We start from the raw sequence: 27,681 nt of genomic DNA on the forward strand, positions 1-27,681 counted from the left end.
TGTCTACTTAATCTCCCTGTCTTTCTTTTACTATCAAATACCATAGACTATAAAAAATCTTCAAGCCACCTTGTAGGTTTTTTGTAGCCCTGAGAGCTGTGTAATGCATCTGTTACCAAGTTGTATTTTAAAATGTGAAGTAGGATTCTTATGCATGGCACATGATTTCATATTTCTTACACTTTGTGAAAATGTTTTCATATAAGACTTTCTACAGCCATCATTTAATAACCTGTTTTGATTGAACAGTATAACTTCATCAACTATCTTTCCTCCAGATACATCAATGAGTTCAAGCAAGATAAATGCCAAAGTTATGTAATTTTTAGAAAGATTCTGAAAAATCTTTACCGTATCCACTAACTACTCAGTACTAACCCATTTTGAAAAATACTTTAATTCCATATTAATATTCTATAAAAATAGTCAATGGAAACCAAAAGAATTTCTACAAGTCACTAAGTAAAATAGATTGGATTCATTACTACATTAATTCCAGAAATATTTATTGGTCACTTTCTGTGTGCTAGAAACATTTTTTATACGATGATAAATGAACAAGACTGACAATTTCTTGCCCATTAAGGGTTACATTCTAATAAGCGATAAAGACAACAATAATACCAGGGAGCTGAGTAATCTAATACAAAGCAAGACAAAGCCAGGGTCACTGGAAGCAGCAGTGGTCTTTCTGAGGAAGTTGCAGCTGATCACCAACCTGAATGAAGTGATGTAATGGAAAATAGAAGTGTTTGAAGGAAGATTGCTTTAGTAACTGAGGAGGAGAGAGGAAAGAGGAGAAACTGCACAAGTGGGTAGAGATGGGAAAGTCCATGGCCTATGGGGAAGGTGAGGAAGTTGACTTTTATTTTCAATGTGCCGTGAGGCTGTTGAGATCACTCAGAATTGGAAAAGAAACAGACCATGTGTTCCAATAGAATACCATTAGCTGTTGTTATAATAATTCACTGTTATTTATTGAGCAGTTATATTTTGTCAGGCACTATTGGTGCTGCTGGTTTTACATATCTTATTATTAATTCTTCATAACAACCATGTGAAATAGGTTGATTGGACGTCATTTTACAAAGTGAGATCTGGAAAGATTAAGCAGTTTAACAAATATTATATGTTCGCTTAATTGAAAGTAACTAATTCAAACAAAGATCTGTTAGGCTCAAGCACATGCACTGAGGGAACAACTAGCAGTTCGCTAGTCCTAATTTTCTTATTTTTACCATTAAAAATTTGAAGCTTACATACAAAGCTGTGAGTCAACTAAGGGAGATATTTAAGTACTGTGGGTATTAATGTGAAGCTGTGCTATTTTCATAAATATTTTGCATTAATTTAGAGTTTATTAAAATTTACAAAAATAAATTCTTAATGTAATGCCTTTTTAGTTTAAGAGCTGTGTTCTTGCAACACCCATGTGATGCAAAACATAAAATAATTATTGAATATAATACAAAGTATAATTCCTAGGAAGTTGCACCTTCTGTATTAGAATCAGATAGTATCTTTTGATGTGGTTAAAAGGAACATATTTTAGACTACCAAAGAGATGAGCAATCGTGTCTGTGCTTTCCCTGTGTATCCTATGATTGACAATCTTATAATCAACTCAACCAGAATCTATTTTAATATATCTCTTTAGTGCCACTGGACACAAGTATTAAAACTATTTGTACAGGTATTCCATTAATGTGCATTTTAATGAGTTGTTTATCCAAATGTATTCATTGTTTATAAGGCTTTTATTCATACAAAATTTCCGTCATCTCCAGAAAGCCTTATTTACTTTTTCTCGTCTATTTTCCATGAATTCTTCCATCTGTTGTTTATCATACTTTTTAGTTTTCTACTAAGATTACCTAGCATTCTTTTTAAATAAAGGAAACAACACTTCATGGAATAATTCATGAAAATTTCTCTGACTATACATTTTCAATTTTCATGTCAATGTGATAGAAATGTAAATGTTCTCTCGATTTGTGCATTTCTATTTGACTTGCAAATTTTTGCTCCTTTAAATTTTCTCTTGTTTGGTATTTTTCCTCTTTCCTAATAATGGTATCATTGCGTTAAGGATTGACTACATCTTATGTCCTCTCATCCACTTTTAATATCTTCCTAAATTATTTCACTTCAAATCTGGTTTTCTCAAGCTTTTGTGAAATGATAATATTTGTGTCACCAATTTAATGGTGCCTGTTTCAGATTGATGAAAAACTTTCTTTATTATGTGATATAGATGTTTAAATTTCAAAGTACCAATAAAATATATTATAACCATTTAACTACTTCATCAATATTTCAAAATTACTCAAATTATTTGATTTAACATATATGGCCAGTTTGGTTCAGCTTAGTCTCACATGCTATTAATAAAAAAATGATCATATGAACCAATTTTAAGAATTTTGTATTCACTACTTTCTTCCTGTTCAAACCATAAATTTTGAAGTCTACCTTGATTTGGATAGAATAATAAAGATCATTCTTAAAAGGTCGATTAAAATTAAAGTGTTTTATTATCTTGTTATCTAATGTTACTGTAAAGTTTTATGCCCAACAGCTTAGCATTGATTTCCTTCTTAAGGCTACAATAAATGTATCTATTGCACCTAATTTTATATTCAATAATAAAAAAATGACACTGAAGCATCAGTCATATTCCAAGCTCTTAACAGAAAAGCAAATACTGAGAATTGTATCATGTTTTATCCCATGAATGGTAAGTCAGTTCAGTTGATCATAATATTTACAGTGAATAGTAACTGAAGTTTGAATCCAGTATTCCTTTAAGTTGTCTAAATAATTTTTAGTAGAGGTAAAAATTTACTTAAATTTTTCCACACTTTCCACCAGTTTCATAAAGTTTGCATTTAATTATGAGTAAATATTGACTTGTATTTTGCTATTGTATTTTGACATAAGAATGTGTTTTGAGTTGCATATGAAAAAAAATCTATGACAAACACCTAAATATATTTTCCTTTTTAATACAAAGTTGTAATATCAAAAATAATACAAATTTATACTATATAACTCTGATTAATTTGTATACACCAAGTATCTGTTCAAATTTGAAATCAGTTTTAAAGAGTGCTCTTGGCAAAGTTTTAAAATATCAAACTAGAATGAATCATGGCATCTTAGTCAGAAATCTGCTTTCCATATAAGGTAAATGTTTTTAAACATTTATGTAATCACCCACATTATCCTAGGTGTTAAAGTTTTAAAGTTTATCTCTATATAGTATCAGGAACTTAACCACAAAAACATTTTATTCTTACAGTGTGAAAGATGAAAATTGAGTAAATAAAATAACACTAAGATATCTTAATTCAGTGCCTTTCTCACATTAACCATTTAAAAAGGTTGAGCGTTTGCATTAGATGACATTGAAAAATAGTAGAGGAATATTTTAGTCATATGCCAGAGCTGGTTTTATAAGGCTTTTATTCATACAAAAGTTCTGTGATCCCCAGAAAGCCTTATTTACATTTTCTCGTCTATTTTCCATGGATTCCTCCAACTGTTGTTTATCATACTTTCTAGTTTTCTACGAAGATTACCTAGCATTCTTTTTTTTTTTTTTTTTTTTTAAATAAAGGAAACAATACTTCATGGAATAATTCATGAAAATTTCTCTGACTATACATTTTCAATTTTCATGTCAATATGATAGAAATGTAAATGTTATCTCGATTTGTACATTTCTATTTGACTTGCAAATTTTTGCTCCTTTAAATTTTCTCGTTTGGTATTTTTACTCTTTCCTAAGTAAATAATGATATAATCGCATAAGGATCGACTACATCTTGTGTCCTCTCATCTACTTTTAATATCTTCCTAAATTATTTTACTTCAAATCTGGTTGTATTGATGCCTGTGAGCTGATTGTTTACATTTCTCCCCACATCTCTGTTCAATGACAGCATGTAGGTAGCTTAAAATAACCATGGAGTATTTACTCCAGGGAAATCAGAAAACTCCATAGACTAGGGCTTTCCCCGCCATAGAGCCAGGGCACAAAACTCTTTAAGACTACCATTGGGTTCGAATACACATTAGCACTTTTAAAAATTTTGATGGTAAAAAGCCCTAATTATTTGACTGCACTGCAGAACCAAACATGCATGCTAATCTTTTAAAGCGAGGTCCCAACTCATTAAGGTAATCATAGCTTTCATCCTGATCAGAGACTGCTGATTCTAAGGAGCTCAGGGATCCAGCTAATGACCCTGTTCCCTCAAAAGCGTAGGTCTGGAGGGAATCAAAAGGAGGGGCACACGGATCAGTATTAGCTTCTTCGAGCTTTTCCAGAATGAATTTCCTGAATATGGCACTGTCGGGGCCAACTTGCAAAGACTGCCTGTATAGGCTCCTGATCTCAGCGCTTGTGGTTTTCCGAGTCTTGCGTTCCCGCATTATGGTACTACTCCTCAGCTCTGCTATATCAAAGGCCTCTGTATCTTCTTCTCCACCCCCTTCATCATCATATTGGAATATATTCTCTCTGAAATCTTCACTTTTCTCAGGAAATAGAATCTGTTTTCTCCGTTGTTTTAAACCCAAAGTCAAAAAAATAAACCCTGATGAAGAAAGCACATCAGAATATCAATAAACAATAAAGAGTATTATAAACATTACAGTCTTTGCTCTCATTTCAAGCTCAAGATGAGTGCTTAAACTTTATGATTATAAAACAAAAAGATACATTTGTTATTGAAAATTTGCCAAAGGGACTTGCAAAATTACAAAAGAATGTATCACGATTTTTCTGGCTGATGACTTAGAGTCAAAGAAAACCATAAAAATATAGTGAACTATATTTATTAATATATATATTAATATATATATAATATAATATATATAGTGAACTATATATATTAGATGATGAACAATTTAACATTCAAAATCTGTTTCTTCTCAAATATTAAAATAGAATAAAGTAGAATAAAACTTTGCAACCTGAATGCGTTTGTCAACTTTAGTAGCCAATGCTTCATATTAATAGTAGTTCAGAACAACAGAACAGTTTGATGTTCCCTATTGAAGCAAAATTCTGTGGCATAATTATTTTCTAAATTAATATGTATTGACTATGAAGCATACATCAGGCATTCTTCTAAAAGCTTTATATTTATTGATTGATTTTATTCTTGTGAAAGTCATTATATTATTATATCCTATTATAGATGAGAAAACTGAAGCACACAGATGTTAAATGACATTGCTAGAAAGACACAGCTAGTTGAGAGATACAATGGAATACTGTTCAGTCACCAACAGTGAAGTCATTTACAGCAACATAGATGAACCTGCTGGACATCATGTTAAGTAAAATAAGCTAGGCACAGAAAGAAAAGCACTGCATGATCTCACTTATACATGGAATCTAAAAAAGTTGATTTCATAGAAGTAGAGAATACAATGATAGGTACCAAGATTTGGAGAGTAGTCAGGGGAGTGGGGCTGAAGAGAGGTTATTCAATTGGTGCAAAGTTACAGTGGGACAGGAGGAATAAGTTCTGGTGTTCTATTATACCGTAGGGTGATTGTAGCTAATAATTTATTTCAAAATAGGTAGAAGAGATAAATTGGAATGTTATCACCACAAAGAAAGGCTACATGTTTTCAGTCACAAATATGCTAATTATGCTGACTTGAGCATTATACACTATATACAGGTATTGAAACAACACACTGTACCCCATAAATATGTCCAATTTGTATCAATTATAAATACAATAAAATAAAAAAAGACAAAAGTAGAAAGTTGGTTCAGAGCCTGTTTTCTGTGACACCACATAAATTTCAGAAATTTCAAACTATCATGCATTTGAATCATAACACATTTGTCTAGAATTATTATTTATTACATAAGATAATTTTAACATCATGTAGAAACAGAAAAAATTCAGAACACTTTTGCTTTAATTTTAAATAAAAATGTGTGTGTGTGTCTGTGTGTGTGTGTGTCTTTGCGTGTGGGTATCAAGGATAACCAAGAGCCAACCTAGGATCTTATGTAGCTGTTCAGAATTTCACATGTAGGATTTGAAACACACATGAAGTAATGTTATGAATAGTATCACAAAGAGAAATATGTTGGTTATATAGTATTTATATAAAACTTGCATTTAAAATATCTAAATTAAATAAGGTCACCATATTTGCATTCATGTATTGCACTTTAGAACTCATATGATATATATGGTTGAAATAGAAAGGAGTCTAATAAATACTTTTCTGATCTGAATTGGAGATAAACATTTATAAAACATTCAAAGGAAATCACTATTGTAATAGTTGACCCGTAACTCCCACCTGCTAAATTTTACTCACATTTGTAATTACAAAGCTGCCCCTTGTTTGTTTGTAGATTTTCAGGGCTTGGTTTAAGTCTGTATCTATAGGTAGCTCAGTATTTTAGTCCCCCAAAATTATGCTTTTACTATTTATCTTTGCTTCTGGATCTAGCTATGTAGCTATGAATTCAGCTTCATAATCAAAGATCATTAAAAATAATTTTAAAAACTGAAGCTAGGTCCTAAACAATTGTAATGGTAGGTGTAAATGAGGAATGGATTGGTTTTGAAACCTTGAGAAAGATAAGTTAAGTGAAGACAAGGCAGGTCCTGAAACATATCTCATGCCAGTTTGAGTGGTCAGTTTGACATTTCAGAAACTAATACATTTGCTCTCACTCTTCAATGTAGTTTCATTGGCTTTTGGTTTGAAGTTTTGAGGGAGGCAAGAGCAGAGTTTAGACTATATATTTTGGCATTAAAAAAAGGAAAAGGTTATGCTAGATGAATATTTTATAGTCCTGAAAGCCTGATTAAGACCTTTTGGTGTTCAGCTGCCTCATTTGTGAAATGAATATAAATTATCTGCTTATAAAAACAGTGATAGCAATAGAAAAAAACAAGCAAACAAAAACTAATAGCGCTCTTTTACTGGGATTTCTTTCTCTTCTGTACTTGGATTTAAAAAAGACGTTCTCTTATACATTCCTCATTTCTAACATTTACTGTCCTTTTTATTCACAAAAGACTTTTGGATTATTTTTAGTTTTAATTGACAAAAACATATACATTTATGGTATGCAATGTGATGTCTGATATATGTATACATTGTGGAATGATTAAATCAATTTAATTAATATATTCATCACCTTAAATACTTATAAATAAAAGTGGTATGTTGAAGAGATAGCCACACTTCCATGTTCATTACAGCATTATTCATGATAGCCAAGATATGGAATTGATGGAAGCTAAGTTTCCATCAGTGAATTAATGGATAAGGAAAATGTGGTATACAGACAGAACGAATGCTATTTAGCTTTAAATAAGAAAGAAGTTCTGTCACTTGCCACAACATAGATAAAACTAGATAACATTATACTAAATGAAAGAAGCCAGCCACAGAAAGACAAACACTGCATGATCTCACTTTGACAAATCTAAAACAAGTAAATAAGTAACTCACATAAGTAGAGAGTAGAATGGTAGTAGCAGGATAGCAGGTGAGAGAATGAAGAGACATTGGTCAAAAGACACAAAGTTTCAGTTAGACATTAGGAATAAATTCAAGAGATCTATTTTACCACATGGTAACTATAGTTAATAATAAGGTATTTTATACTCGAAAATTGCTAAGAGAGTAGATTTTACTGCGCTGTTTTTTTTTTTAAATGCACCTTGGGCTCTAGTCAGTTGCAGTACAGTGTTGTATAACAATGTGTTGTGGTCATGGAATCTTAGCACATCATTTTCTAGCTGTGTGACCCTTCATAAAGCACAAAGCTTTTTGAGTTTCTATTCCTTCATCTGGAAAATGTAGGTGATATTAGTTACTACTTAATAAGGTTATTGTGAGGTTTGGATTGCATAGTGCATATAAAACACTGAAGATTGTCTCCTGGAGTATAATAAGCACTCGAGAGAAGCTCGCCATTATTATCACTAATTTTTACATGTTTTATACTGTTACATTGTATATGTGTCAAGAACATGCATAAACAGATGTGTACATACATACTCATACAATTCAAAGATCATGTTTTTATCCACTTATTTACTCCACTTGATTTAAGAATTATACTACATTCAGAGGAGCAATAAACGTACACACAGACCCACATTATAATGCTATAATAGAATTAACTATGTATTTATCATGTTATTTTAAATAAATGAGTATATGTTCAGTTCAGCACCACCTACCAAATATGATCATAATGCAAATGAGAATAGCAATGATGACTTCTACCTACCAAATATGATCATAATGCAAATGAGAATAGCAATGATGACTTCTGTCTTGAATCCCATGGAAAGCACAAGCTCCTGGTACTGGCAGGTCTGTGTGCTCCCACTGTCACCACAGTCACAGACATGGATGGTAAGGGTGTTTGTACTTGTAAGTGACGGGATTCCATTGTCGGCAATTAAGATGGAGATGTAGAAGACAGGTTCTTCTTGAAGGTTAAAACCAGTTCTATTAGTCAAAATGACAGCTGTGTTATCTAAAACAAAAATCCATGTGCATAATTTTTTCAACTACGTAAGAGAAATTTGTATGTAATAGTCACATGTGCTAGGGACAATAGTATAGAGATATGATCAAGTAAGTTCAAATAAAAGGAAGACGAAATTTCTGACGAGAAGACAACTAAAACATCCACACTAAATTATTAGTGTTTTGACATTACCTAAACCCTAATTATGTAATCAGATGAATTATTTAAATTATGTAGTAAAATTACTATTTAATATTATTAAATATTGAGTTGATACTACTTATTTAGTTAAAGTATTTATATTATTATTGAATTAATTAAATTGGTTCCAAAATGTCTTTGACACATATATAAAACATACGTGTAACACAGAAAATGGCTTTTTAATCAGATATCAATAATTTATAGGGACTACCAATATGAAATATAAGCTGATTGAGCTGGCTTTATTTGTGTTAATTACATATGACACGGTCTATTTTCTAATACTTGTGACCCATTATTTGTACAAATCCAGGGAATATACAAGACTTTCAAAGATATATATCAAAGCACATGATCTCAAATACTATATTTTCTAATTAGACAAAATAATTTCACTTGGTAGACAAGATCCTATTAGTATATTTCATATCACATTGCTGTTATTAATCTATTTTGTATTTAAAATTCTGAAAATCATTACACTTAGACTGATTCATTTACCTAGAGAGTCCATTCAAAAAAATTCATGAAAACAAACAATAAGCACTTCAACAAATATGCAATGACTCTTCTGTGAATCCCAAAATATTATGAATAACTTTTGTCATTGTAATTTCTTGTACCTCAGAACTGTATTTTCCCTTTACTTCTTTTTTACCATCCCTCAAAATATTTTCTATAGTCACCAAATTTTAGAAGACAATAGCAGTAAAAGGAAAATAAAAGCCTTTTGAAATGCATGCTTAAGTAGGACATTTCCCAAATCACCTTTTTAAAGACAATTCACTATGAAACCCTTAAGGTCTATAAAGCCCATGTGATTTTATTCGCTAGGCAGATCTAAGAGTTGAGAGACAGTTGACACTTTTTAAATATGCGTTTTATTAAATTACTTGTGACCACAAGCATTAAACCAAATCAATTTTGTATGCTTCAATGTATTTATTTCACCTCAGTAATTTATTTTATATTAATATAAATTAATCTATATATACAAATATCAATGTATTTAAATATATACATTTAAAAACTCCAGCTTAGATTCATTTATATTAATATATGTATTTTAAAATATAATTTTTAACTTAGAGTATAATAATAAAAAATAAATAAATAAAATAACGTTGAAGTCTGCAACAAATAATAATAATAATAATAATAATAATAATAATAATAATAATAATACATGTACCCCCTGAATCTAAGAGTTTGTTACATGGCTAAATTTTGTGGAAAGGAGTCTGGAGATTTGTCAAAGAGCTTGAAAGAGATATTTGTGGTTTTTGTCTGAAACATATTTGAGTTTCCTCCCCGGGGGAATTTGACGAGGGCAAAACAGACAGAAAGGTGTTGCATTTACTCTCGTATGAAAGGCCTCTTCTGAACAAAGCTTAACCTCAGCTGTAAGGAGAACTGCAAGTATTTGGTTACAGATACTTGAGTAATAAATCAACTGTGTTTCATAACTTTGAGGTATGAAAAAATTAAAACAGAAGTTCTTATTATGACAAAAAGTATCTCTTACTGAAGCTCATGAAAAAGAAGCAGCGTGGCTTTGTATAAAGTTAATCCACCTCTACAGAAAGGAAAAATAAATTCTGCCCCTACAAAAAGTTCTTTGGAACACTTAATCCTTAGATTGATACAAATTATTTAGTTTTGAAGGAATAAGAACTATATTAACCCAATTTCACATATTCTAAGCTCCTAATTGATGACCCTAAATATTTTTGAATCAATCAAGCTAATATGACTAACTAAAATAAATATCATTTTCTTCCTCAGTCATAGATTGAAGTCTGAGTTAGATGAGAACATGAAAGGAGCTGTGGTGTCAGAACTGCAATTATATTCGCAGGGTCATTCAGACTTTACAAGAGCTTACAGCCATTGATAACTTTAAAAAGTGTTTCTACTTTGAAGAAATGCGGTGAGAAATGGAGTCAATATTTTTAGAACTTAACATTGAGTTTTGTTTTCCATTTTAATTGTTACTCTTTTGCTTGATTTCCAAACATTATTATGTTGCAAGAACAGTATAAAAATCCATGCCATAAATTCCATTAAAGTCTAACATGAGTCACAAAAATGTATCAAAACTCATTATGAGTGAATGACATTACCTTGATTATCTATGATTGTAAAACTTGAATTGTTAGTGTCTTCTACAGATAGATTAAAGTAAAAATGGTGCTCTTCTATGGATTCATCTCTATCCACTGCACTGATAGTCTGAATTACCTAAAAAAAAAGGGGGATAGATTTTTGTTGTTGTTTGGATTCAGGAAGAAGATCACTGCTGCTATTATTATTAGCTTTTATTCACATTGCTTTATTACAATCAATAGGGACATTGCAGAAAATAACTGTCAAATCAGTGGAGAATATTAAAATGTTTTTTCTCAGGTTAAAAATATGTTCACTTCCTTTTTTCAAAGAGTGTTGTAATATTACATAATAAACAAACTCTTGTTGATGGATCAGGTGGATTCCAAAAGCTGTTTGTTGAAAGTCTCCAAAGCATTGCTTTTGTATTACTCACATCCTCCCTGCCTACATTTCACTCTTTCTTCCTTCTTAACTTTTTCTTTATCTGAATGTCAGACATTATGATTTGCTAAAGTTGTCTATTTCCTGTTTTTACTGAGAGCAAAACTGTGGTAGAGTTACTGGCTTACTAAACTATTTGCTGAAGTAATGAGATTTGCAATTGATTGAGGAAATAATGCATTTAAAATGTAGGGGCAATGTACATGATTTCCTTTGACCCATAATGATTATAGGAAAGTGTTTTACATCAAATAAGTTCATCTCTATATCTCAGATCATAAAACAATGAAGTACTGCAGACATGAACAAATCCATTTTCAATTAATTTTCTTCTTTCAAGACATGAATCTGTCAGTCAAGTAGTTCATTATTGTCGAAAAAGATATGCTGTCAAGATCACATAGTGAGATTGTGATTAATTGTGGAAATTAAAGTAAATTGATTATAGAAGTTATTGTTTCGAATTTTCTACAATTAAAGTGCCTTTAACAATATGTCAAACAAAAATAGCCTCAGATGCAAGATGACAAGCCCAGATTTATATTATACTTCAAAAAAATAGATACATCTTCACAGGCATAAAGAACATTAGGAAACCAATACGATCTGTATATTACTTCTCCACATTGATTTATTTTTAACTCATTACACATTACTAATAAATAATATTCATTTAGTGTTAATTAAGTAATTTAACAAAACACATTTTATTCAATCCATGCTTATAATTATACATGTGGATATTGATTTATGTTAAGGTAAAGCCTTCATTTTAGAATATTACAGGATTTTGTATAGGCTGGGTAGAGGGCAGGGGCTTGGAAACCCAATATTCTGAATCCTGGCTTTGCCATTTAGAAGTTTTTAACCTTGAAAAATAAAAATACTAATACTTAACCTTCAGGGTTCATTTTCAGGATTATAGGTCTTGGCTTGTCAGAGGGTTTGTCACACGACAAACTATTATGTGTTCCTATGTCTATTATGTGTTCCTCATGAAAATATTCTCTTGTTGAGTTTTTGCATATCATGGTGTCCTGAATATTGTTAGTCATAGGCATATGGATATCTTTATATGCACATTTGCTGAAATAAGATTGATAACAAAGTATAGAATTCATGTTTATCTTGCTGGCATATGTGGCTACAGTGTTCAGATAAGGAATATTTTATTTTACTACCTGATGTTCTGTATTAAACATGAGCATCTGAGTAAATGTTGCAAATGTCTCCCTTTGGGAATGAAGACTTAAGAAGACTGGAGATATGCTGTATGTATGTCAAAAGATTTTTAATAAATCAAAATACCTTATGCATATGTACAGGAAACTGAATGAGCAAGATTTCAACAGTCTGCCTCCTTTTAAATGATCATGTCTCCACTTATATTTGCTTTGTAAGTTGGGCTTCCAATAAGATATGTTTTACTGGCTTTCATAATTACTTTATAAAAATAGGAAGACACAGACATAAAATGAGTCATATATCAAGTATTATGAATTTTATTGAAGTTACCTTGAACAGGTACACTTAAACACATACCACTAATAAAGGGACCACATTAATATGCTAATAAGTTTTGATGGAGGATATTTATTTTTCCTTTAAATATACCAATGGAAAGGTTTTCATTTTCATTTTAAAATAAAATTATAAGAAAAACTTCTATATGTTGTATTGGTTGCTATTTACTTATATCTCTTTATCTGGGAACTATCGTTGACCTTATACATTTATGAAAGGAGTAAAGATAAATTAAAAGGTAAAAGTATATACCAAGAACAGCCATGGCTTGAGAGATTGGGAAAAGAGAAAATGAAAATAACTCCAAATTATGACCAATTCTGAAAGCTCAGATTTTTAGTATTCTTTTTGCTCTCTACGTAGAATGTTGGCCAATTTATTTCTGATGCAGTACATTCAATCATCTATATACAGTGCATTGAAAGCTACAATGGAAATACATTGTGTAAGCCCCAAGAATTGAAAAGTAACTACAATTTAATAAGAACTTACCTATGGGCCAGGATCTGTTCTATACATTATCTTAGATAATCTTCACAATGGTCTCTGGAATAAATCCTATTATTGTTCCCATGTTATAAATGTTTATATTAAGCTTCATATAAGCTAAGTGTCTTAGGTAAGTAAATTGGCTGGGCCAGAATTAGAATGTAAGCTGATGTCATAGGCAATGTGAAATATGAGTAGTAAGTGTAGCCCTCTAGGACATATTGTTCATATCCTAGACTTGTTCTTGTCCTACCAGATTTACATACAAAATGATACCGTAAAAGACATGAAATTCCAAAAGCAAGTAAAAATATGTCTCATAAAAGTTAGTGACAGAGAAATAAGTAATATAATTTTGTAGAATAAGGACCAAAAATAATGGTTAAAAATAGAAGAAAATAATGTGTTTTGATATGGGAGAAAGGGAAGATTTTCTAGGGTAAGAGTACAGCCAATGAGCTAATACTCAAATAAAAATATGAATTGAGGAAAAAAGTGTGATCCCAAGCAAAGAATATCAAGAAAATTAATGAAGGCAAAGATATCATACATTAGGTATAAATGTATGAAATTAATATTTTGTAGATTAAAGATGACCTACTAATGGAAGTTTCATAAGTTCCAATTTAGTTATTTTATGAAACTATAATCACTATTTGACTTTAAAGATAATCAGGAGAATAAAGATAATCATTTGCCTGCTATTAATCATTATGCACTATGTCTTTTTTTAAGAAAAAGTCACACATGGGCCAGTTTACTAAGATATCATTCCAGATTAATTATCCTGAGCCAAAAATAAGCCCAATACTCACATTCTTCAAACCAAAGAGATGGTTCTTATTAAACATGCAATTGATGGACAGCTAATTTAAGATGCAACTCTTGTACACAAATATTTGGAGCAAGCAATACATTTGTGTCTGTTTCCTTACCTTCATGGCAAGTCACAATGAAACCTACTTCCAGGATTAGTCAATGAATAAATTGTTGAATAGGATTATAAACTATAGATTGAATCATGAACTCTAAATCAAGATACAAATACTGAGTATTAATTTATATAACTCATCAATTCCTTGAAGTGCACTTAATAAACAATAAAAAAATGCTTCTCAATAGAAAAATGTTAAACAAAAAGTTGGAGTTGTAATAAATGAATATCTGGAAAGATTTTCTTAAAAATCTTATCTGAGTTGCTTATTTAGTTATTCTAGGTAGGTATACCTTGTATTAGGCTAAAGATGCAGATTGTCTCCCATTGCCAAGAAATTATTATACAAACATATGTATGAGACCATCACTTTTTATATTACTCTAATGAGTAAATGATTTTAAATTACACCTGTTTTGACAAAATAAATCTATAAAACTCAAAAAAGGTGTTGAACATCTGTTCAAACAGGCAGAGTACAAAATAATACACTAATAGAAGTAGAACCAACAAGAAAGTCTAGGTTGTAGTATGCTTGTTGTCTTTCTTTGTTTAGCAAAATATTAGAAGAAAAATGTTCAAAAGGTCATTATAGCATAATATTTTAGACCTGGATAGAACTGAGGATACTCTAAGTTTTCTAAAAGGATTTTTCACAAAGTTTCATTATATTTATTTAAATGTCATAGATATTATAATTGTTTTTGCCATTAACTTGTAGAAATTGATATTCAGTTGAAAAATACACATTCCTAGATTTTTATCTCAATACGTATTTTCTAATTTTCCTTTTAAAGTTAATATTCCAAATATACTTTTAAAATTCACATAAAATCAGCATGTATATGGAAAAATATTAAACTATAAAATATCTCATTAGTATCTTAAATGTATCCATTTAAAATGTATTTCATTAGTACTTACAGCACTCCAAGCAATCCTATGCCCTGGTGGTACAATCATGGATAAAGTTAGTCTCTGTCACCACTGTTCACATTCTAGTGGTGAAGAAGATCAAGCAGAATTGCAAACTTAAAAAGTATTGAGGAAGTACAGAATACCCAAATTACATTTTAAAAGTTATAAACACCTAAAGTACTTAATACTTAAATATTGGGGGGTCAGAGAACCTTGTATCTGTGCTGAAATTAGAAGATCATACAGCAGAAGTGAGCAGGGGATACATCGTGGACATATTAAAGAGTTTTGACTTTATACTGAGGGACACTCCCAGGCTCTAAGTTGGGAATGACATGATCATTACTTTTATTTGGGATCACATGGTTCCAGGCAAAGGACTGCATTTTAGAATGCTCCTTCTGAGGACATCCTTAGTGTAAGTCTGGAAATAGAGAATCTAGTCCGCAAGCTATTGTCATGATCCTATTGAACAACTGCTTGGTAATCAAAATCACTTTATGTGATATACAAAAAAACCCACTAACAATCACAATTATGGAATGTGTTATTTTAAATGAGAAACAATACAGAAATTACTGAGCAGTGTTCATAAATTGAGAATGGTACAGTATGCTTCAAATAGAGATATAATTCCTGAGTCCCAAAATTTGCCTAAGGGTATGCTGAGCTCCAGAAGATGTCACCAAAGTAATGTTTTTTCACCATTTTCAAGAGGGCTATATATTCTCCTCGCTACTCTCCATCCAGTAAAATCTGATTCTCCTGAAACTGCATGACTGCAGTCTTACCTAATAAATATAATTGATTTATAAAACTGATACATTGCTGCATATGTGCTGTGAGATTGGATGAAGGAAAGTTTGATTTTACAGGAACATCCCTCTGCAGACCTGCTTAGGTCAGGTTCACTCTAGAAGAGAAGATAGGTCCCTTAGGTTAGGTTCACTCTAGAAGAGAATATAGGTTCCTATTAGGGTAGAAAGAATGATGATAGAGAGAAATTGATACATTAAAGACATATGTAGGAGATGGGATCAACAGAACCAAATTATTGATTGGATATGGAGAATAAAGACTAGAATTAATTAAAAATGATGTCCATATGTCTTTTTTTCTTGCAAAACTTGATATCATAATAATTTTCCTAGGGATACTGAAGAAAGGGAAGGCTTAGGAGCAAATTTGGTGTAACCATGGGACATCTGAGTTGTTTTCTCAGGTTAGTCAGACACATAGCTTAAAACAGAAAAATCAGGCAGAGATACAGTTATTTGGATATGAACTGTAGTCGAGAGGAAGAAGTGGATAAAAGAAGAAATAATGAGTTCAGGAAACTTTTGGACACAAAAGTGAAAGGAAGAGAATCATAGATCACAAAATGCAACCACTGAAATTTAGGAAAAAGAAAATTTTTACATGGAGACAAGGTAAATGTCTTTAGACAAAATATTGGTATGAGTGAATCTGAAAATTATCGATATTATACTTTACCTCCAAAAAAAAAGACATTTAATATCAGTCAAAATAATGGCACTCAGTGATTTGAAAAATGATAACTATTTGCACCACATGGCAAAGGCAAATTACCCTGATGTCAGCTCATTTATTATATTAATATTTGCAAATTGCTGAAAATTCTCTCCTACTCTTCCCCACCCTGGCCACTTACACATTAAGAACAAAACCAAAAATTTTGTTTACCCACATAGGTATTTGAGTAAATGTTTGGATTCCTCCAGAGTAGAGTGTGACTACTCTGGCATTTTTATTTTCTATGATCAATTTATTATCCATCCAAAGTAGATAGATATAAGACATCCTTTTACCTGCCATTTTCTCTGGCTGTTTGAGCATGTGGGAAATGAGAAAAGAATCATCTTCATAAATTAAAAATATGTATAAAATATTTAATATTCTGTTAATGATTTTAATTAAAAGTATGTGAAGATGATATTTTGGATATATTATATCAAATAAACATTACTAAAATTAACATTATCTGGGTGTTTTTTATATTTTTAAACGTGGCTACAGGAAAATTTACAATTCTATCATTTATTTGGAAGCACTGCATTACATACTCATATTTTCAAATAATTTTTCTTTTTTTCAGTGACTTTATTTTATATGTACTTTATATATTGTATGAAATTTGGCTTTAGAACTCCAACAAATAATAGTGTAAGAGAAGGCATTGTTTTCTTATTACTGTTTTAAATTATATTACCCTATCAGTTTCAATATTACATAAAGTTTTGATTATCGATTGAGGACTATAATATTTTATCATTATTATACGTATTATGTGTGCCTTTTGAAGTCTTATATTTATTACCTAGGATTTAGGTTTATTATTCTTATTCATTACTTATTTATTTATTTATTTTTGAGATGGAGTTTCACTCTTGTCACTCAGGCTTGAGTGCAACGGTGCGATCTCGGCTCACTACAACCTCTTCCTCCCAGGTTCAAGCGATTCTCCTGCCTCAGCCTCCTGAGTAGCTGGGATTACAGGTGCCCACCACCGTGCCCAGCTAATTTTTGTAGTTTCAGTAGAGATGGTGTTTCACCATGTTGGCCAGGCTGGTCTCGAACTTCTGACCTCAGGTGATCCTCTCGCCTAGGCCTCCCAAAGTGCTGGGATTACACACGTGAGCCACTGTGTCCCACCTAGGTTTACTTTTATCTGAGGGTTTCTTAGCATCAAATGAAAAGTTCGTGTATATAATTTTTATGTGTATTATTTAGTTCCTTTGACTTGATATGTAAAATATTTACAGATTTCAAAGTATTGTATATTGTTAACTTTTTATTATTTTTAGGAAAGTTTAAATAACATGAAAATTAACTGTAACTTTGAAACTCAACGATACAAATCTCTTGACCGAAAATATTCCTTAGAAACTTCTCTGTGACATAGTCTCAGTATTATTAAGCATAATTGTTTTAATCCTCTTTTCTATTTTTCTTACATTATTTCATTTTATTTCATTCCAGTCTAATGACTTTTTTTAAAAACCTGCATTTTGAAATGATTATAGATTCACAAGAAAATGTAAACCCTGTGCATGCAGTCTCTCAGACACTTCATTCAGCTAAACCAATGGTTACATCTTATGTACCTGTAGTACATTATTAATATCACACACGTATGATGACAAAACAAAAAAATCAACCTCTATAACACATTTATAGTGGAGTTCTTAACTTTTGTTTTTTACTTTGTTAATTCGACTCCCCTAAACATCTGATGAACGACATTATTAACCTGCTCCACTCTCATCTCCAACAGACATTGACAATGTTGTTTGTGTGCAATGTCAAGTGTACATAGACACCGTGTAGCTAATTCAAATCTCTTTAGAAGACAATGAACTCCATGTTAAGAACTTATAATGTATGACATGACCCTTAATTGTCACTGTTAATATTAACAAAACTACTTTTACCACAGTCCTCTTTTACCTTCTTTCTTATTTGTTTTTTATCTTTACAAAATCCTTAGAAGATAGAGATTGTAGAGGAGAAGCTGTATTATTATTTTTGAAATGAGGAGATTAGTATTCAGCATGGTTAGGATATTATCATCTAATTGGGGTAGTGTGGATGAGTGATAGAGATCTTCAGCTATTGCACTGTGTAATCTTTTTGTTATTGTAGCTTGTTGTTTTTGATGTTTCATTCTCACATAAGGGGAAACATATTTGAATTACATCTCATGGTTTCCTATACATGTGATTTTTAGACAATAATCAAGAATACCAATCAGAAATTCCAGGAACTTAACACTAGAAAACAAATGTTTATTGCAATCCTCTCTAAAGAACCACTTTGCCTTTCAAAAACATGGGACAAAACAAAACCTAACAAAGAAACAAAAAACAAAAGACATTTAAATAATACATAAAAAGAACAACACTTATTTTGCTATCCTGCTCATTTTTCTCAAAGGGTAAAAGAGGCAAATCCATCAAATTCAAAAAGATGCACTCAGCTATCATTGGAAAGCTGTGTGCTATGTATTGCTTAAGAGTAAATGAGGGCCAGGTGTGATGGCTCACACCTGTAATCCCAGCACTTTGGGAGGCCGAGGCAGGCGGATCACGAGGTCAGGAGATGGAGACCATCCTGGCTAACATGGTGAAACCCCATCTCTGCTAAAACTATAAAAAATTAGCCGGGTGTGGTGGCATGCACCTGTAGTCCCAGCTACTCGGGAGGCTGAGGCAGGAGAATCGCTTGAACTCGGGAGGCAGAGGTTGCAGTGAGCCGAGATTGCACTACTGCACTCCAGCCTGGGTGACACAGCCAGACTCTGTCTCAAACAAAAAACAAACAAACAAACAAAAAAGTGAGAAACGTGATAGACAGTTCCAATCGAAAGAGAAATAGAGCAGCCTCAGTTATTAAACGCCTATCTTTTTTAAACTCTGGCCATCCTGGGGCCAAGAATGATAACTAGCTGGAAGAAAATAGCTGTTTTTTTTTTTTTTTTTCAGTTTTCTGATGCTGTAGCACATCTAAGCAATCTCTAAAATATACAAATAAATCCATCATGAAAAAGTTACCAATTATTTTTGGAGATAAGGAATTTTTTTCAAAAGAGTAAAGAAAATATTGTATAATTTTTTCTTTTTTTGAGTTAATTTGAGTTATTGTATAACTGAAAAGAACAAAGAAAATATTGTAAAGCATAATTTTAAGATCTGTATATCTTCACTGAAACACATTTGGAGAATTTTATATTGTTTTAAAATTTTATATTTTACCCATTCTACCTATTAATAGATTTGCATTATAAAAAAAGTGAACCAGCAAATTTCATGGACAACCTTATAATCACATCACAAACTTTAAAAAACAAGTTTTACAATTCAAAGAATTTTCCTTTAATTATTTTTCAATACAAGTCTTCAAGTCTGATAGTCTGATAACCTTGATGTTAAAATAAAGGTAATACAAGAAAACGTTGCTCCTGTAGGATGATTTATTGATTGTTATGTAATCTTATTGCCTTAAATTGTGTTACTTCAAGATATTAATCTGGTTGTTTTATTAATCTAGGAGGTACTTTGAAAGATCACTTTTCTTTTTATTAGTTTTAAGGTGCTTTATTAGATAAATGGTGTCCCAAAACACCCTTTACTTTGGTTATTATTCTTAAATAAAATTTTCTTTATAATTTCATTTTATATACATTTTTACATACTTGCTGAAATTTCTATACACACAAGTAATTCATCAAACCAATCTATGAATCAGTTTACTAAAAATGTTCACTTCCTATTAATATTAGTAATAAATAGAATGTGGTTTCTGGATCTGATAAATTTTTTAAATGTTAATTTCTATGAATGCATATTGTGGAAAATAATTTGGGAAAGCTTCAACAGTACTCTTACCTGGTTAAAACATTCAGAATGATAAATATGTCACCTGTAATGGATACAGAGTGCTTGGAAATTTCTTCATTGGCAAAGTCACCCACGGTATTTACATTAAGTCATTTACTACATCAACACGAGGTACTAACTTTTATAAAGAACATTTCTTATCAACCAGCAAATATTCTTGCATATTGAGGACAGAATGACTTCTTCAGGATTTTGCAAATAATTATCTTCTCACTTATCTCTGGCCTTTATTTATTTATTTATTTATTTTGTTTGTTTGTTTGTTTGTTTATTTGTTTTTGAGACATGTCCTCACTCTGTCCAGGCTAGACTGCAATGATGCAATCATAGATCATTGCAGCTTTGAACTCCTGGGCTCAAGTAATCCTCCCTCCTCAGCATCCTTGGTAGCTGGTTCTACAGGCATTAATCACCATGCCCAGCTAATTAAAAAAAAAAAATGTAGAGACGGAATTTCACAGTGTGAAAGTCCAGTCCAGAAAGGCTGGTCTTGAACTCCTGGACTTGAGTGCTGCTCTTACTTCGGCCTCCCAAAGTGCTGGGATAACAGGTGTCAGCCATCACCCCCTGCCTGCCTTTATTTTTAATTAAAATGTATTAGTCTGCCAAAAAGTTACAGGGTTTATGTAGTTACTTGTTCTGTTGTTGTTGTTGTTGTTGTTGTTGTTGTTGTTGTTGTTGTTGTTTCGAGACGGAGTTTCTCTCTGTCGCCCAGGCTGGAGTGCAGTGGCGCGATCTCGGCTCACTGCAAGCTCCGCCTCCCGGGTTCACGCCATTCTCCTGCCTCAGCCTCCTGAATAGCTGGTACTACAGGCGCCCGCCACCATGCCCGGCAATTTTTTTTTGTATTTTTAGTAGAGACTGGGGTTCACCGTGTTAGCCAGAATGGTCTCAATCTCCTGACCTCCTGATCCGCCCGCCTCAGCCTCCCAAAGTGCTGGGTTTACAGGTGTGAGCCACCCAGCCCGGCGTAGTTTTGTTTTGAGACAGAGTTTCACTCTTGTTACCCAGGCTGGAGTGCAATGGCGTGATGTTGGCTCACTGCAACCTCCACCTCCCAAGTTCAAGTGATTCTCCTGCCTCAGCCTCCCAAGCTGCTGGGTTTACAAGCATTCGCCCATTCGCCACTACGCCCGGCTAATTTCGTATTTTTAGTAGAGACGGGGGTGCGCCATGTTGGCCAGGCTGGTTTCGAACCCCTGACCTCAGGTGATCCACCTGCCTTGGCCTCCCAAAGTGTTGGGATAACAGGTGTGAGCCACTGTGCCTGGCCAGTTATTTGTAATAGAAACGATTATTAATGTTTTACACAGCTTTCAAACATTTTTTATACAATTTGACTTTTTATCCTTTTTCTTTTAAATATAATATGTTTTATTATATATATTTTTTCTTCTTTTTGGTATAGTTACTTTTTAATATGTTTCATATTAATTCGAACACATTTAAGCTTAAAGAGTTCTGTGCTATTCCTAGGATTTATGTATTTATTAGACATTTAAAATATTTTGGCCTTAAAAAAATTATTTAACAACTTTCTATAGGGATATCTGGAAACTAATGTTGAACTATATGTAAGATTGTCTGTAGCAATTTGATAGAAATAATGTTTACCTATAAATTATTTTTAATAGTTACAATTTAAAAAACCCTCTGAAAAATTGATACCTTTTCCTAAAACATTAATTTATAAATATTTATACTAATTAAAAATAGTTGAAAAAAATAAAAATCACAAAAAAATGAGATGAAGTTTTAATACTGCCTTTATCATTATCAAAAATGAAAGAGAAAGCGTAGGAATTAATTGGACAGGTTTTCCAATTTTATTTACTGACAATTCCATCTGTATTTTCTGCAATTCCTCACTAACAGATCACAGAATCTTGGGAAATGACTGATTCCATATCTAGGACAGGAAATGTGAAAGGCCTGGCTCGGTATCAGCCTGGTTCCAACAGAGGGACAAAACCACATGATCATTTGAAACGAGGAATTCTAATAGAATTCTAAGCTATAATATCAGAGCAATCATAAAGATGTAAGGAGAACTCTAAAGGGTATCCTGACGCTCTGAGAAAATATCAGAGGACAGCCAAGCGTGGGCGGAAAGCCTTCTCCCTGGGACCAGCTTCAGCCCTCCTTGGAGGAGGTGCAGCTGCAGCATACCCTATGGAAGATGTTCACAGGTTGCCTGGGTTCACATTCTAACCCACATTCTTCAGGAAAGAAGAAACAACCCTCCAGGGTACCAGTGGGCTGGAGGATAAATATGCAGGACTTGGCGCTCACCTCACTGCGTTGCCAGGTCTGGAGCACAGTGTTTACACTCGGTGGGGGTGGGGGGGGAGTGGGTCTCAAGGCGGTTGTCATGAGCCCAGGCGGCAGTTGCTGGTTGCCAAGTGCCTGTACATTTGGTACATTAGGGTCTGTATGTGCGTCTGGGGAAAAGCACCACACAAATCCCCACACGTCCAGAGAGCTGACCATGCAGTATGACAAAGGGAAAAGCAAACATGCCACGTACTGGATCTAGGAAGAGAAGTCTTCTCCTGCAATGTTCATCCACAGCCCTCTACTGACAAGGCTCAACCTTGCACTCACCGTAAAGGAGAAAAGCTCTCCGGGGGTGGGGGCGGGGGGGTTGGGGGGCGTAATTCCTGTGCACAGCGCAGGACCTTGTTAAGCAGGTATTGAGGCATGAATGTGCGCCACGAAGCATTAAATTGATCAGTGGCAGAGCCCAGAACATATTGCTGTACCAGAAACCATGTAAGCAATCAAAGACTAACATGTTGTCTAAAGTACACAGAAACTGACATGAATGTGTGAGGATCTATTTTTCTAAACATTCTTTGTCCTTTTTATAATTCCTTTTGTGATGTAGATAGCTTATTTTTTTCTTTATTTTTATTTTTTTCCTAACTTGTGCGTGTGTGTGTGCACACATGCATGGACACCTGTAAATATTTTTTAAAACAATTATTGCGCTGCTGCTTTGGAACTTTGAAGAAGCCTGGTCCTTTTTAAAGAGTAGTGTGGACAAAGAACACAAAGTTTCAGTTAGACAAGAAAAATAAGTTTAAGAGTTCGATTGTACATAGTTAATAACAATTGACTATGGTTAATAACAACATATTGTATACTTCAAAATTTCTGAGAGTAGATTTTAAGTGTTCTCTCCACAAAAAACAAGTATGTAGGTAATGCATATGTTAATTAACTTGATTTAGCCATTTCACAATATATGCGTGTATGTTTGTGTGTATATATATATATATATATATATATATAAACATCATCATGCACCATAAATATGTACTATCTGTATTTGTTAATTAAAAATATTTTTAAAAATAAAAATAAAGAGTACTCTAGGGAAGTGGAAACAGTGAACTTTGTTTTGGGTTTCTTAATAGAAACAAATCCATGCTGAGTCTATCACCCTATGCACATACTCTTCTTTTAGTTTCTGGTATAATGAAGCTTTTTATTTCTTACCAACAGTCTCTAAATTGTGTGTCCTTCATGTTTTATTCTGCCCCAATTTTATTTTTAGCAATTCCCTTTCAGGGATCTCAGGCTGAGATTATATCAAAGAAGGTGCCACCTTTCTCTTTACTATCATTTTCTCATTCTAAGGTGGAGAGCTGTCAAAGTGTTTTTCCATTTCGTTTGTGCCACCAAGTTCCCTGCTTGAAACCTAAGAAAGTATATACTGGTTCTGGATTTTCTCTTGGCTTAATCCAGAATTTACATTATTTAATTTATCTGACACGCATATTTAACAATTTGTGTCCTAATGGTGTAGACATTTCCTTATTTTGGTGATTAACTGTTCCTTATGTTTAAACATTTTCTCTGTTTACTTCTAAATAGAATGCTCTTCAGAGTTTCCTTATCAGCACCACTTAATATTATTGTTAAGATTATGGTGAACCTAATCAAATAACTTTTACTACCCTTTGTAATAATTTTTAAAAACTACTTATACAGAGATATTGCATTAAAATAATTACGGTTCATATGCACACCATTTCAGTTACATGAGCTATGCCTTATTACCTTTGAAAGCATTTTTTTTTAGAGATTGCTTCATTGGTTTTAGTGTTCATACATTAATATTTCACTTCTAGGAAGGAGGAAGAGATTAACAGCACTTTAAAAAGTTTTTAGTGGCACTTTGGGAGGCATATATTAATGTTAGGTGTTTGGTTTTAATTGTATTAACAAAAACCTACCCAGTGAATTTCAAATCAGAAATCTCAACCCAAGTCAGTCTGACTCTATGATCAACACTGGAGGAAACACAACAGTCTTGTGCTTGTGATAGCCATAATTCCTGGATTATTAAAACAAGGCATCTTAATATATGAGAAAGTATCTACTATAATGTTATATACATTGACAGCCCTCAAACCATGTGTCCACTGATTTCAATTTGTAAACTATCATGTATACAGCAGGGTGGGAGGAAATTGTTGGCTTCTCCTTGGATTTAAATGGAGGAACATGATAGGTAGCCATATATCATTCTTTCAGATGCTTATAGGACTGAGACAGACTTCCAGAATTTGACAGCGACATCTGCACGTCCCAAAATAATTATTTCATGATGTGTGACACTCTCCTTAAGGGAAATTGTAAAATAGGGCTGACCAATGTCCCTTATTTTGAGTTTGAAGAGTGCATATCCCAGGAAGGAGTTTGGAATCAGTCAAATTGACCTTCCTTTTATTTTTGCCCTTAAAATCATAAATAGCATTCTTTCTGAATAGAGAAACAGAAAAACTTGTTTTTCATATTTTTAGTTGTGTGCATAATCTAAAGAGAGCTAGTCTTTATGATTAGCATGGAATATGGGGTAAAAATCACTATCATTCTTGGAGACAGACATAAATTTTAATTCTGGCTTACCTATTGCTACATTATATGATGTTGAGAAAGTTCCCTAAGTTAACTAAACTTTTTAAGCATAGTATACATATATGTACATTTATAAAAAGTATTTTATTTCATAGCTTTTTCCATAAAGCTTTACATTTATACTTTAAGCAGGGCACAAGAAAACTCTATGCCATTGCACCCAATAGATATTTCTCTCCTCAGTAGAGTTTAAGACTGAGAATACTTTTACAGTACATTGCAATAAACATTAGCATTTGAGTTTCCTTTGGATCAGTTCTACCTGTTTGTAGATAATGGTATTTCATTTTTGTGGTTGTTATAGAGGTACTTCAAAGAATAAACAAATATTAACTTATTTCAAATTTAAAAATTATATCTTCAATGACTATGTGGGTATGTAGACACTTTTATAAATCTAGGATACATTATGGAACTTAGTAACATGGTGGTTTTAAATGCCTTGAATATTATCAAGATACTTGTCTTGGACATTTTCATGATACATCATCATCCAAAGAATTATTTCATCATTGTGCATAAGTTTTTTTCACATATATATTTAAAAGACATGTAATTTGAAAGATTGTGTATTGAAAGTTTGTGTGAAGAATGACAATAATGAAATAAATCTTCACTATTTCATCATTCTTTTTTTTTAAAATTGTGTTGCTCAAAGTATTACATCAACTTTGAAAAATATATAAAAGAGGACTGGCACACCATCTTTTAGTTTCATTTCTATTTTCATTGACTATACATGTCCAGTAATATTTGAATAAGTGTTATAAAGATAATTTCAAAATCAGGGATAGTTTCCAAGAATTAGTTTTATTACTGAATATATAAATATGTATATATATATATGTGTGTGTGTGTGTGTGTGTGTATGTATGTATATATATGTGTATGGCAAGCTTAAATATTGAATGAATTACAAATAAATTTTTTTAAATATCTATTATATATTGGTGCACTCAGGTATACATATATATTAAGTTTTTTAGTATAACTAACAAATACTACTTAGTAATTCTATTTTGAACTATATCCATGTGGTTAGTATTGTCATTTTTGCTTATTTTTTCATATTTACAAAACATACAAAATTGTTTTTCCAGGTTGCATGTGAAATATATTTTTCTGAAAGCATATGAATTGAATACTTTTCATATTATAATCACTATATGTGCATACATATATAACTATGGAATAAAATCAAGAATCTCTGCTGTCATAAATCTAGTAATATATTGAGGAAAATACGAAAATATTAAACAGAAACGGCCAAGTGTGGTCGCTTACGCCTGCAATCTTAGCACTTTGAGAGTCCGAGGCAGGCAGATCACGAGGTCAGGAGTTTGAGAGCAGCCTGCCCAACATGGCAAAAACCCATCTCTACTAAAAATACAAAAAAATTTAGCCGGGTGTGGTGGCGTGCGCCTGTCATCTCCACTACTCGGGAGGCTAAGACAGGAGAATCAATCGCTTGAACCCGAGACAGGGAGGTTGCAGTGAGCCAAGATCACGCCACTTCACTCCAGCCTGGGCAACGAGAGCAAAGCTCCATCTATATATATATATAAAAAACAGAACTTTGTCCAATTAACATACTTACCACATGGGACATTTACAGAAATAGGTGTATAGAAGATGCAGTAAATTAAACCTATTTTTTTTAGGCTTAAAACAGGCTAATAAATGGATAATCTAAATACATTCATATGTACACTTCATATGTACATGAAATGAATGAAATAATTTACTATACTGGTACTAGAAATATGAAATATAATTATAATAAATATAAACCATAATTTTATTTATAATAATTCTAGAAATATGTTACATCTAATATGTAAATTTGATATATATTTATTAGAAAATTATAAAATTCATCATTTCAAAAATTATTTGTATTTTAAGAAAACTGGTGTGCCACATTTAAAGTATCATTTATTAGATTTACATGTTATTATTTAAAAGTTGCTTGTTATATTTGTCAATGTGTCTAAGTAATCAGATGTGTTTGAAATTCTTGAGAACATTAGCTATGTCCAATTTCTAAATATATAATCTACTTATAGTACCACGTTTGAAGAAAAATGTCTAAGCTGAATTTCTGCAGGAGCCATGGGTCCAAGTTCACGTTCATTCTGTTTTTGTGATCTCTTCTACCCTATACTGTACGCCCATACATT

The 27,681-nt window shown here is 32.2% G+C and overlaps 1 protein-coding gene across 5 annotated transcripts in view; it reads right to left on the minus strand.

The window, feature by feature from the left end:
- Nucleotides 1–381: 381 nt before the first annotated feature.
- CDH19 (cadherin 19) overlaps nt 382–27,681 on the minus strand; it is a 103,008-nt gene continuing 75,708 nt past the window's right edge. For 3 of the 5 annotated variants that reach the window (NM_021153.4, XM_047437484.1, XM_011525931.4), the window contains 3 exons: nt 10,867–10,984; nt 8,294–8,545; nt 382–4,601 (listed from right to left, as the gene is read on the minus strand). In NM_021153.4, the coding sequence (NP_066976.1) occupies nt 4,111–4,601; nt 8,294–8,545; nt 10,867–10,984 (861 nt within the window). In that variant the 3' untranslated portion in view covers nt 382–4,110. The remainder of the gene's footprint in view (nt 4,602–8,293; nt 8,546–10,866; nt 10,985–27,681) is intronic. The other 2 variants (NR_073130.2, NM_001271028.2) reach the window with 2 other exon arrangements.

This window comes from Homo sapiens, chromosome 18, assembly GCF_000001405.40.
Source record: "Homo sapiens chromosome 18, GRCh38.p14 Primary Assembly".
Taxonomy (NCBI): Eukaryota; Metazoa; Chordata; class Mammalia; order Primates; family Hominidae; genus Homo; species Homo sapiens.